At 34.8% G+C, this 12595-nt stretch overlaps 1 annotated feature.

Annotated features, from left to right (window-relative positions):
* Window positions 10881-11413: an enhancer, noted in NCBI's record as "NANOG hESC enhancer chr2:13652552-13653084 (GRCh37/hg19 assembly coordinates)". NCBI's record gives its function as "activates a minimal SCP1, AML or CMV promoter by ChIP-STARR-seq in primed H9 embryonic stem cells {active_cell/tissue: H9 hESC(primed)}" and the evidence as "EXISTENCE:reporter gene assay evidence [ECO:0000049][PMID:30033119]".

A 12595-nucleotide genomic window follows, 5' to 3' on the forward strand; every position in this document is an offset into this window, starting at 1 on the left:
GCAAAACCCCATCTCTACTAAAAATACAGAAAGTAGCCGGGTGTTGTGGCCCACACCTGTAGTCTCAGCTACTCGAGAGGCGGAGGCAGGAGAATCGCTTGAACCTGGGAGGCAGAGGTTGCAGTGAGCCAAGATGGTGCCATTGCACTCCAGCCTGGGTGACAGAGCCAGACTCTGCCTCAAAAATAAAAATAACTAACTAACTAAATAAATAAATAAATAATATTCTTTATAATTTCTTGTAGCTCAGGTCTGCTGGTGATGAATTCCTTAATGTTTTGTTTGATTGAAAAGGTTTTTATAGGCTTTTTTTCTTTTTTAAAAAAATATTTCACTGGTTATCCAATTTAGAATCTGTGTTTCTATTCATTGTGCTTTCACCATTTAAATATATCATCACATTGTCTTTTTATTGCATAATTCTGATACAAAATTAGTAGAAAATCCTGTCATTTTTACTCTGCATATACAAAATATTCTCTGGTTACTTTTAAGATTTTTTTAGATTTTTAACATTGTCTCTTTATAAATTATTTGATTTGACTTTTTTGACTTTTGTTTGTTTTGGTATTCTCTTAAATTTGTTGAGCTTTTAAGATCTTTGTATACATAATATTCAAATTTACTAAACTTTCGGCCATTATTTATTCAGATGTTGTTCCTGCCTCACCCCTTTTTCTGATACTCTATTTCTGTGTGTTTTACAGTCATTCTATCATACACAAGCTCATAGTGCCTGTTTCTTTTTTTATTGTTGTACGTTCAAAATCAATGATTTTTTCCCCACAGTGTTAAATCTGTTGTTATTCTCCTCCAGTACAATTTTTAAATTCACATATTTTATTTTTTATATCTAGATGTTCCATTTTGGTTTTATATGTTTAATTTCTCTTTTCATTAGGTTTGTATTTTCTTGTAAATACTCAACCATGGTTACAAGTTTTGTTTTAATATCCAGGTCTGTTTGTTTCCTCGTATCTGTCCCTTCTTGTTTTCTTTTTTTTATTTGACTGATTTTTCTCCTCATTACGGTTTGCGTTTCTGATTCTTGGCTTCTCTATTTTTCTTATTGGTTTGGGCCATCATGAATGCTATGTTATTTTTTGTCGTCTATTCCAGTATGTTGCTTTGCTGTCTTCTGACTTCAATTCTGTTTTCAATGAGAAATCTGTGATCTTCCTGCCCCTTTTACCTCTGTATACAGTATGCCTTTCTTCCCCAACCCCTGATAGATTTTAAAATATTCTCTTTAGTTCACACAGCTTCCGCTTTGTGTTTATTTAGCTTCTTGGATATGTGCGTTTATAGTTTTGTTAAATTTGGAAATTTTTTTGCTATTACATCTTCAGATAATTTTCTAACCACCCCCCTCCTGACCATCCAGGCACTCTAACTGCATGTACATTAAACTGCTTGAAATTGTCCCATAGCTTACTGACACTGGTTTTTTTTCTTTGCTTTTTTCCTCTATACATTTAGTGTGAATAGTTTTTAGTAATGTATCTTCAAGATCTTTTCTAGTTATCATCAAATTATCTAATTATCATCAAACTTTTCTCCTTATAATCAAATTTGCCCTTTACCCTGTATCACACATTGTAGTTTTTATATCTCAAGTTATATTTGGGTTATTTTTATATCCTCTGTATCTCTACTTAACTTTTTGAACCTATGGAATGAATGTAATTATAATAATAAATGATTTGATTTCCATGTGTGCTAATTCAGTTCTTAGTTGGTTTTAAATGAATTTTTTTCTCATAGGGCATATTTTCACGTTCATTTTAGGTCTGGTGATTTTTTACTGGATGCCAGATATTGTGATTTATGTTTTGGGAGTGTGGAGATTTTAATATCCCTATAAATATTTCTGAGCTCTGCTTTCGGGATAGTTAAGTCACCTGGGAAACATTTGGTTCTTTTGTGTCTTTAGCTTAAGATTTATTGGGTACAATCAGAGCACTGTTCAGATTAGGAGTGATTATTTCCCACTGCTAAGATAAAACTCATCTGTGTACTCTACACATTGCTTCATGTTCAAGACATTTTCCATTACGGCAGGTGGAATGGATGTTCCAGCTCTGTGAGAACTCTGGGCACTGTTACCTCTAATATTTTTGGATGTTTCTTGCCTTGACTTTGGTAGTTTCCTCAGGTGTATGTTCTGATCTGTGCTTAACTGAATAGTGAGGGGTAACTTGTGCAGACATCTAGAGTTCTCTCTCTCTCTCTCTCTCTCTCTCACTTCAAGCAGGGGAAATGCCAGACGTTTATAAAATCATCAGATCCCATCAGATCCTGCCTCAGCCTCCTGAGTAGCTGGGACTACAGGCATGCACCACCACACCCGGCTATTTTTTTTTTTTTTTTTTCCCTGAGATGGAGTTCTGTCATCCAGGCTGGAGCACAGTGGTACATCTTGGGCTCACTGCAACCTCTGCTTCCCAGGTTCAAGCAATTCTCCTGCCTCAGTCTTCTGAGTAGCTGGGATTACAGGTGCCCGCTACCAAGCCTAGATAATTTTTGTAATTTTTTTTTTTTTTTTTTTAGTAGAGATGGGGTTTTGCCACATTGGCCAGGCTGGTCTTGAACTTCTGATCTCAGGTGTTACAACCGCCTCAGCCTCCCAAAGTGCTTGGATTACAGGCATGAGCCACCACACCTAGCCTAATTTGTGTATTTTTAGTAGAGACCATGTTTCACCATATTGGCCAGGCTGGTCTCGAACTCCTGACCTCATGATCTGCCCGCCTCGACCTCCCAAAGTGTTGGGATAACAGGCATAAGCCACTGCGCCCAGGCTTTATTTTTTTTTAAACTTTGTGCCACAAAGCTGAGTGATAGGCACAGTAGGAAACAGAGTGTATCCAGAAAGCTTTATTATTTTGACACAGCTACCTATAACTTACATTTAAAAGAGGTGATTTCAAACTACACACATATATTCTATTCTTTCAGATATGTATTGCTGCATTAAAAAATTACCCCCAAATTTTATTACTTATAAAAACAATGATTTAATCTGTTTACAATTTTGTCAGTCATCAATTTTTTGCTGTGCTTATCTGAAAAACTTTTTTTTTCTTCTGGCTGTCATCAATTTCAAGTAAATGTGATTAAATCAATTCAAAATGAAGAAAAAAATGGCCTGTAGGCCTAAAATAGCATTTAAAAAAGTTCCAGTCTTTGCCAGCATTTCCTTTTCTCTATTAAATACTCTTTTCCCCTTCCAACTTTATATTCAATGATAGCTATTATGGATTTCTATTATGGGAGATCTTTGCATATAAACAATCATTTATTTTTCAGTTACTTTTGTTGTATAAAAAACTACCCCAAATTTATTAACTTGTGAAAACAACATTTCATTTTCCCATTTTGTTTTTCTGTGGTTGAGAAATTTGGGCTTAAATGACTAATTCTAATGGTCTTGTATGAATCACTCATGTTATTTTGATCATCTGGTCAGTCTGTTGAGGTTGGGATGTCCAAAACTCCCTAATTCACATGTTTAGTATTCAGGACTGCTTTTTAAATATGTCATGTATCTTCAACAGGCTAACCTGGCCTTCTTCAAATGGCAGAAGAGTTAACAGCAGCAAAAGAAGGCAAGTTCCATTGTTCAGGTACATACTTTGTAAGCCTTTGCTTGTACGTTTTGCTAATATTTCATTGTCCAAAGCAATTCACACACCAAAACCAGGGTCAATGTGGGGAATGCTCTGCAGATGTGACGACAGGGAGGATTGATGTTCCAGGGACCATCTGTAGCAATCTGCATACACAGCCACATCACTTATTTATGTCCAGGTTTCCACCAGAACTGAAGATCCTCTCTTAATATATTTAAACATTTCAGAAAATACAACAAAGCCATTTATTTTTCTTGGAGATGCCTCTCTTGATTCCCACCACTGCACTGTCTGATGCTAATGTTTACTTTATGTGCTAAACGCCTACTTCATAGTCCTCTTCCAGGGACTGTCATTCGTCTCACACCTGCACAATCCTGTTGCTTCTTTCCTTCGTTATAGCACCTATTTTGTGGAATCCATGCATAGTAGACAACTGTTATACTGTTATAACCAATTTTATTTTTAACTTATGGCTCCCCAACAATGTTTAAGTAAATTTTTCTTCACTTTTGATTTTCCACATTGTGATTACTTCCTTTCCAATGGGTAATGAAAAAAATCTACATTTTCCAAACTCCACTAGGGTATGGGCATAGTGACTTAGATTCATCCAGTAAGTTGCACCCACTGCTGATTTGGCAGTTAGTGCATGGGAGCTATACCGTATGGCAGCTGCATGTGGAAATACTGACTTCTGGAGTCCATGGGACCTCTGATTTTCAGTCTGGAGCATGAAAGTGCAACACTGTAGACAGGAAGAGCAGTGATATTTTCATTAGAAAGTTCTCAGAAGTGGTTAGAATCTGTCCCTGTCTCTGTTACCCCTAGCCTTGTACCGTATAAGTCAACAAACAATCTAGCCATCCCAAAGTATTTGAATAAACAATGTCTTTTAATGAACACCTTTCTCATTCAAACAGTTCAAGTGCATTTTTTTCATTTGCAACCAAGAGCCATAATGGATACAACATGTCATCCTCTTTCTTGGTTTCCACTTTATTTTGGTAATATTCATCTTCTAAGCATCTTCATGTTATTAAGTCCATGAGAGGCTTATTTGTAATATTCTCGTGTCTTAGACATTTTGTGCTGCTATAACAAAATACCACAGACTGGGTCATTTATAAACAATAAAAATGTATTTCTCCCTATTCTGGAGGCTGAGAAGTCCAAAATGAAGGTGCTGGCTGGTGATGGCCCAGTGTCTCTTCTTCCAAGATGATACCTTGTTCCTGCATCATCCAAGGGGGAGGAAATCTGTGTCATCACATGGCAGAAGGGCAAAAGGGCCTAAACCAGTTTCCTCCAGCCCTTTAACAAGGTACTAATCTATACATAAGTATGGTGCCTGGCATGATTTGGCTCTGTGTCCTCATCCAAATCTCATCTTGAATTGTAATCCCCCTGTGTCAAAGGAGGAACCTGGTTGGAGGTGATTGGATTATGGGAGTGGTTTCCCCCATGCTGCTCTCATGATAGTGAGTGAGTTCTCATGAGATCAGATGGTTTTATAAGTGTCTGGCATTTCCCCTGCTTGCACTCACTCCCTCCTGCCACCTTGTGAAGAAGGTGCTTGCTTCCCTTTCCACTATGATTATAAGTTTCCCGAGGCCTCCCCAGCCATGCAGAACTGTGAGTCTATTAAACCTCTTTCCTTTATAAATTACCCAGTCTTGGGTACTTCTTTATAGCAGTGGGGAAACAGACTAATATAGAGCCCTTATAACTTAGTCACTTCCCAAAAAGCTCTGCTTCCTAACACCACCGCAATAGGGATTACATTAAATGGGAATTTTAGAGGGGACACATTTAAACCATAGCATCATGATTACTTGAAAATTTTAAATGAACCTTTACAATTGATTATAAACTTCTCTGGGTGAAAAATAGAGGTTGGACATCCATTCCCATTAGCATTTTAAAGGTTTTCTTTGTCCACTTTTAAGTTGAGCCCAGTTTGATTCCGTGATTCTTTTTACGTGGTTGGCTTTTTATTCTCTCTGAAAGCTTTTAGAGATCATGACGTTGTTATTTTTATGTTTCACCAAAAATGTGCTATTATTCCATTTTATTCCTTATGCTTGGCATTCAGTTTTTATTTTCTATTTAAAAACCTTATATTTTACAATGATGAAAAATGTTCTTATATTATTTCTTTGATATTTTCCTGCCATTCTTTTTGTTTTCTTTGTTCTGGAACAACTTTTATTCAGATATCTCCTGAAAAGAACCTTTAGTTTACTTATTTTTTTCTTCCAATTCTCTATATTTTTCTACTTTTGTGATAATGCTTAGAAAACTCCCAATTTTACCTTCACAACTTATAATAAATATATCATCCCTGCCTTCATTAAACATGTCTGCAACTTTTTAAAAAATCATTTATTAAAGGGATGATGATCCCTAACGTTCTGGTTTTCTTCACATATTAACTTTACCTACCTCTTTGAGGATATTAACATTTTTTGAAGTTTTTTTTGTCTTATCTCTTTTTATAATACTTGCTTTGGAATATTTATTATTCTATCTGACATTTATCAGAAATGTAATCACTTGTAGATTGTTTATATTTGAGGGAACACTGAAATGATTATTGAAAGCTCTGTGTTCCTATTTGATGGTCTATGCCATGGTATGAGGTGCAGACCTGGATGTATCTATGGCACCTTCTTAGAGACCACCTACGGATGTTTTGTATGGGGCTACCGAGTTGGATCAGAGCAAGTAATCCACTATTCTTACTGGTGGGAGGGGTCTATAAGCTTGGCTGTTAGTGTCCTGAGAACAAAATGTGGAAGAGGAAAATCATGACTCAAAATTCTTTCGGCAGACTTTTGCTGAGCCCCTGTTTTTCATAAGGTATATCGCTACTGTCCTTTTGGATCCCTTTTATCCCACATTTAAAGTTACTTTTATTTAGAATATTGACAAAGTATATTTCTAAATTTTTCAGGGATATGTAGACACTACCTATAAGATTGAAGTTCAACCTTCATAAAGTACAAATCACCCATTCATCTTACAGTTTCCAAAATGTTCTTGTCTGTTTTCACTGCTTATATCATTCCCTTTCTTTCTTTTATTTTGAGGTTACATCTTTTTTTATTCTTTCACTGTCAGGTTCATGTAGATTTTGAAGATAATAAATTAAATATGTCTATGTATCCATCATATTAACTGAATTGGGTATGATAGTGAAATTTTTGAAGAAAAATATAATGTTCAATTATTTTTGAAAAGCTTAGTAATTTATGGTAATTCTGCTTATCGGAACAACATGCTATAATTAAAATACTTTTTATAAAGATTACATACTTTATGGAAATTGGCTATGGTGAGGATTAGACTAATAACCAATTTTACATCCATTGTGATTGCAATAATTTTTAAATGTTCATTAATAGGAAGCAATAAGTATTACATGGTATACCTCAAGGTATTATCAATATATAGGAGTGATTAAATGACAGATTTCTTGTAATCATTTTTCATTATTTCTGTATTCTCTCTGTTTACTTCAATGGGTAGGTGACATTTTTTAAAAATGAAAAAGAAATCAGACAAGAGAATACATGTGTAAAAAATTGTTTATTTACATAAAATCATCATTTCTATGTCTTATGTAAAAAGTAACACTGTCCTCTTCATGCATAGCTGGCCAATTGTTTCTACCAGCTGGACATATTGGCAATTTACCAAGAGAATGGTGCTCACACCTAATTTCCATAATTATGGAAATTATTTAGCAGCTGCTGTTTCTTTTCTATTTAACCTTTCTGTAGAAATATGTATTTTGTAAAAGGATTGTAGAAGGATGATTAGTCTATCTGTGTACCGTTAGTATAGACAACATGGAGAGATAGAACAACCCATCATTAACTAGCTATGTGACTCTAGGAAAACATATATATATATGTCTTTTCTCAGTGTAAATATTTTTAATCTATTGAATGAAAGTTTGACTCCAACATAGCTCTGATCAGCAATGTTATACCCACTTTGCTTATAACTGAGAAACCTATTTGAAATGATTTACCCTAGATATTTTCAAGTTTTCCCATTTCACTGTGCTCTTTGCATCACAGTAATTTTTTCATGGCATGTTTTAGGCCAACAGAAGTACCAAACAGTTTCAATGTATTTATTAAAAAGTTTCAAACAACTTAATAAATACTTATATCCTAAATTGGAACAATAAAAATATATATGTTATGTATGTTAAATGATAGAAAAAACATTTTTGTTTCCTTCTTAAATAATCAGAATTACTTACTAGTAAAAGTGACTTTTGGGTACTGTACTGCCTCTAAAACCTGGAATCAGGTTGGACACCACCACCCTCATTTTCTGTTCCACAGTTATTTTCTTGCTTTATATTGGTGTTTGCTTCTAAGTCCAACACCTGCTAAAATCCCAGCTTCACATTGTTGAAAGGAATGCAATGGAATCTAATGTGCAAACTGTGAAATATCTCAAGCTGCTAGTTCATATAGCTTTCAAAAGATATTAAATATCTCTTCTTTTGTTTCAAAAAATGTAAACTGTCTCTTAGAGTTATCTCTGTGGTTCTGCAGGATGCTTCAACACATAGTTTTGGAATTGTAGACTTACATAACATATCTGGAAATATTTAGAAAGCTAATATTTGCTCTTCTGGAGACATGTTTAGATGTAAAGACATCAGACTATTCTTTCATAGAAATGTTTATAAATACCAGAGTTAGAAGAATCTCTAAATTGTACTTCATTCACTTAGCTTGTTTTACAGATGAAGCCATCAAAACAAGTAAATTGCATGGCCTGCCAAAGGACACAGAGATAATTCATAGACTATCACTGTTTGATGTTTTATTACAATGTCCTGTTGACTTATCAATCTTGTTCACTGAATAACAGAAATCATGTCTTTAGTCTTTCATTTCCATAGTCTTGGTACAAAGGACATTGTATATGCTCAATAAATGTCTCTTTAACCTATAAAAAAGTTGAGATAAGCATATGAAATCAGATCTTATACATCTTTCATGTCACAATAACTTTGATAAATGAGTTTCTGCAGTCATTTATCATACAAAATCCAACTTTGCTTGCTTGGCAGAAAAATCAATATTCTTCTTGCCTCCAGATTCTAAGTAGTTAAAATGTATTTATATTCCATTAGAATATCTTTCAGAGTATCAGTCTCATTATATATCTATCTTAGTCTCACCAATTTTTATCTTAATTAGCAACCTAAAAATTTGATTATTTCAAATATACTCAACTATCTTTTTGGCTCTTGGATATTGAAAAAGTCTAATCAAGATGAAAGATCTGGTTAGAAAAATAATTCTCAAACTAATATACAATTATATATATTATTTTATTGATATGCTTTTTTATTCAGTCTACAAATTTAATTAAAAAATTCTTAATTGCCATTTGCTGTTGTAGCTCCTGGGCGTTAAAAAATGGGACAAAATGCTACTGTTAGTAATTCGAAATCTGGTAAAATATACAAAATCATAAACAACTAGCTCTAATAAAATGTGATGAATGCTGTATCAGAACAATCATGACACTAAACATCAAGAATAGTTTAATGTCTTCATGTAGTTCAGAGACTTCTGAGAGTACAGTTGAAGCAAGGGAGAAAGTCTGGTCAGGATGAAGAAAATGTATGAGCATAAATGAAGGATCCATAAATGTTTAAGAAGTTTCTGGGAGAAAATACATAGCAAGGTGTGTTGAAGTTTGAAAATGAGAAGAGCTAAAGGAAGAATATTACTCTGGAAAAAATATTCGAAGGAATTGCGCCTCAGAGGGTTTGAGTAACCCATGTTGCCTGGGAAGTACTCCCTGTCAGAATCCCATGACACTCTTGATAAATGGTGTTTTTTCAGGGTTTTCTCTGGAGTAAATATTGAGCTATGATTCAAATTTTGGTCTTCTGAATAAGTCACAGGAGCAAGAATGATCTGTGTTTGAACTCTAATTATTCTATAACCTTGGATTTTTTTTTTTTACTTTTCTCACATCTAATTTTTCCATCAGAAAATGTGGATAACAGAAAGCTTGAACTGTTCGTATGGAAATTAAATAGAATAAATTTCTATTGCCTCATACAATGACTAACCCACAGAGTTGTTTTTACAAATGAAAGAAATAAAAAAGTTAGATTATGTGTCTCATTCAAAATCCATTAAAACACAGCTCTTAACATTTTCACACTAATGCTTTAATCTGCTTTTGGCATTTTCCTGAAGGAAGAATTAGCAAATTTCAACAGGCACAAGAATTAATACTTAACATAACTGAGAGAAGCAAGCAAAGTTTAAATAGTTATGATTATATTTTATGTATAGTAGGGACTGCAAAAAACTGGGGATATCATGACGAATCTAAAGAGACATCCAATGTCAGGTCCAAGTTCAAGTGAAATGGTGTCCTGTTGGAATATGGGATCGTTATTTTTCAAGAGAATCTAGAAATATGGATTTCTTTAAAACATATTTTGAATGCTTTTGTTCAGCCGTAATCCTGTGCCTTGTGTACCCTCTGCATCAACAAGACTTCAAATCCATGGCTATTCTAACCAGTGCTAAAGGAGGCTTTTGTTTGTTTGTCTATTTGTTTGTTTTAATTTCTATGCCAAGCTATAGAAGCTTTTCTTGATTTCACCAGTCTTTTCACTGCTGTTGCTTATGTGAATGACCTGCTCTATAAATGGCCTGCAAGAGAGCTCAAATAACTTTGGGAGAATGTGCATTGCTGACATGTCTTATCCACAGATATCCAAAGGATAAAGCAGGTGGTCGAACTGAGTTATCTTCCTTGAGGTGTCTCTGTCATTCCATAGATAATGAAAAAAGTAGAGTCCAGGGAAAATGGTCATTTTGCATACTAATTAGTCTCTGGGATAACAAATGAGATGAGATAATTTGCTCCCTTTTCAGCATTATAAACTTTCTGTGCTTTAGGCATTGGGTGACCTGATTAGGTAGGACCACAGCTATAGAACACAGTAATAAAATGAAGGAGAAAGGAAGAAAGATTTTCCAAGAGGCAGACTTCTGTAGAGAAAGCCCTCAGAGGCATGCAGGAAAACAAATTAATTTTTCATCTGGGACAACGCAGCTTCCTCCTGGGCCAGAACTTGACTCCATTCAGGTGAGATAGTTGTGTGCCATCGTTTGGCTTCTCATGCCCATGACTGTCCTCTGACTTCTGTCATCCTCCACACTTTTCTTCCTCTCCTGTTTATTTTCTCAATACATGGAGGTCATCAGATATAATAAAAGTTTAATCCAAATGTCTCTTTAGAAAAAGGCCACTGTGAAACAGGAACAGGAATTATTAGGGGAGGTGATTATGACACCATATGTTTGGACACTACTGGTGAGCACTTAAGTTTGTGTATTTGCTCCATTGTCCCCACTTATTGCTGGAAGCCTGCTCAATGAGGGTGGGGTGGGAAGAGCATCTGTTTAGCATTTAGAGACCTTGGTTGAATGAGGGTAACAAAGGGACATTAGGAAACTGTTAACTTCTTTCAAGGTTGAGCTCTTTATCTCTAAAATCTACTAACTCTGTTATCATTGTATTGCTTTCAGGATTAAAGTAGTTAATTTAGGTAAAATCACTAGCAGATATTATTCAACAAATGGTATATCTCTATGATTGTTTTTTCCCCCTGAATATTGTTTTGACATTGTTGACTCCATCTTACTTCTAACCTCCAAGGTGTCCTTCTTCATTTCTGGTTCTAGCTTAAACTAAATTCGGGAGGAATTTTGTTTGTAGTTTAACCTTAAAGGAAGGATGATAATAACCCTTCCCAAAAACCACTCCTTCCATATTTGGGACCAAAACTGCCATTGTAGTACTAATGAAAGCCCATAATGTTAGGATTATGAGAGGGGCCTGGATTCTGCTAAGATATAGGTTTAGTTACATGATAAGCAGCCATTATTCTGAAGGTCATAAGACTTGTAACTTCCCCAATTACTTATAGGTAAAAATAGATAAAAATCACTTTTGTTGACCCTCATATTGGGCTGACTCAGCACACAAGGACCACTTTCCACACCCCTGTGATTTCACCCCAACCAATCAGTGGTATGCATTCCCTAGTCCCTGCCTGCCAAATTATTCTTAAAAATTCCCAGTCTCCAAATTTTGGGGGAGACTGATTTGAGTAAAAAATTCCAGTTTTCCACTTACATATACTGTATATATGTGTGTGTGTGTGTGTGTGTGTGTGTGTGTGTATAATACGCATACTATATATGATATATATATTATATATATGTATGTGGATTTATAAAAGACAAAAATAATAAACAAGCCTGGACCATGCAAAAGCTACTCAAGAGCTTATAGCCTAGATCAATACAAAAAGATAATCATAAAAAAGTCTGCCTGAATTCACAGTTATTGCAGTTGTTAAATTTTGCTCTGAGGGTTCTAAGATGAAAAGTGAAGATATGATCACTAAAACATTCTTTTAGTATCACAATTGAATAAACGTTCTAATTCTTCTTAAGTAGCAAAATTTAGAATTTTGCTGTAAATCTTTCTAAATAAAATGTCCTCTATTGAGGCCTTAATACTGCTTACAACGTAGACAGGTGATGTATAACTCTATTTAAAATTCATGTCCAATGGAATCACCTCATATCCAACTATCTCTCTTTACATTGTTTACCTATCAGAGAATCTCAGGCCAGGTTCGATATGTGGATTATTTCAGGTCCGGCTACATTAGATTATCTCCTTATCAGTATTTGGGGAAAAAAACTAATGATTGTTTACCCCTCAGGTGTAATGTTACACCTGAATAACATTTGGGAGAGGGGGGCAAAAATAAAACAGAAAAAATACCCCAAATATTCTTCAGTGTTTGATATGCAGTTACTTAATGCCACTTTGCACTTCATCATTTGATATGTGAACATTCAGCTTTAGGGATAACTATTGCT

This window comes from Homo sapiens, chromosome 2 (assembly GCF_000001405.40).
Source record: "Homo sapiens chromosome 2, GRCh38.p14 Primary Assembly".
Taxonomy (NCBI): Eukaryota; Metazoa; Chordata; class Mammalia; order Primates; family Hominidae; genus Homo; species Homo sapiens.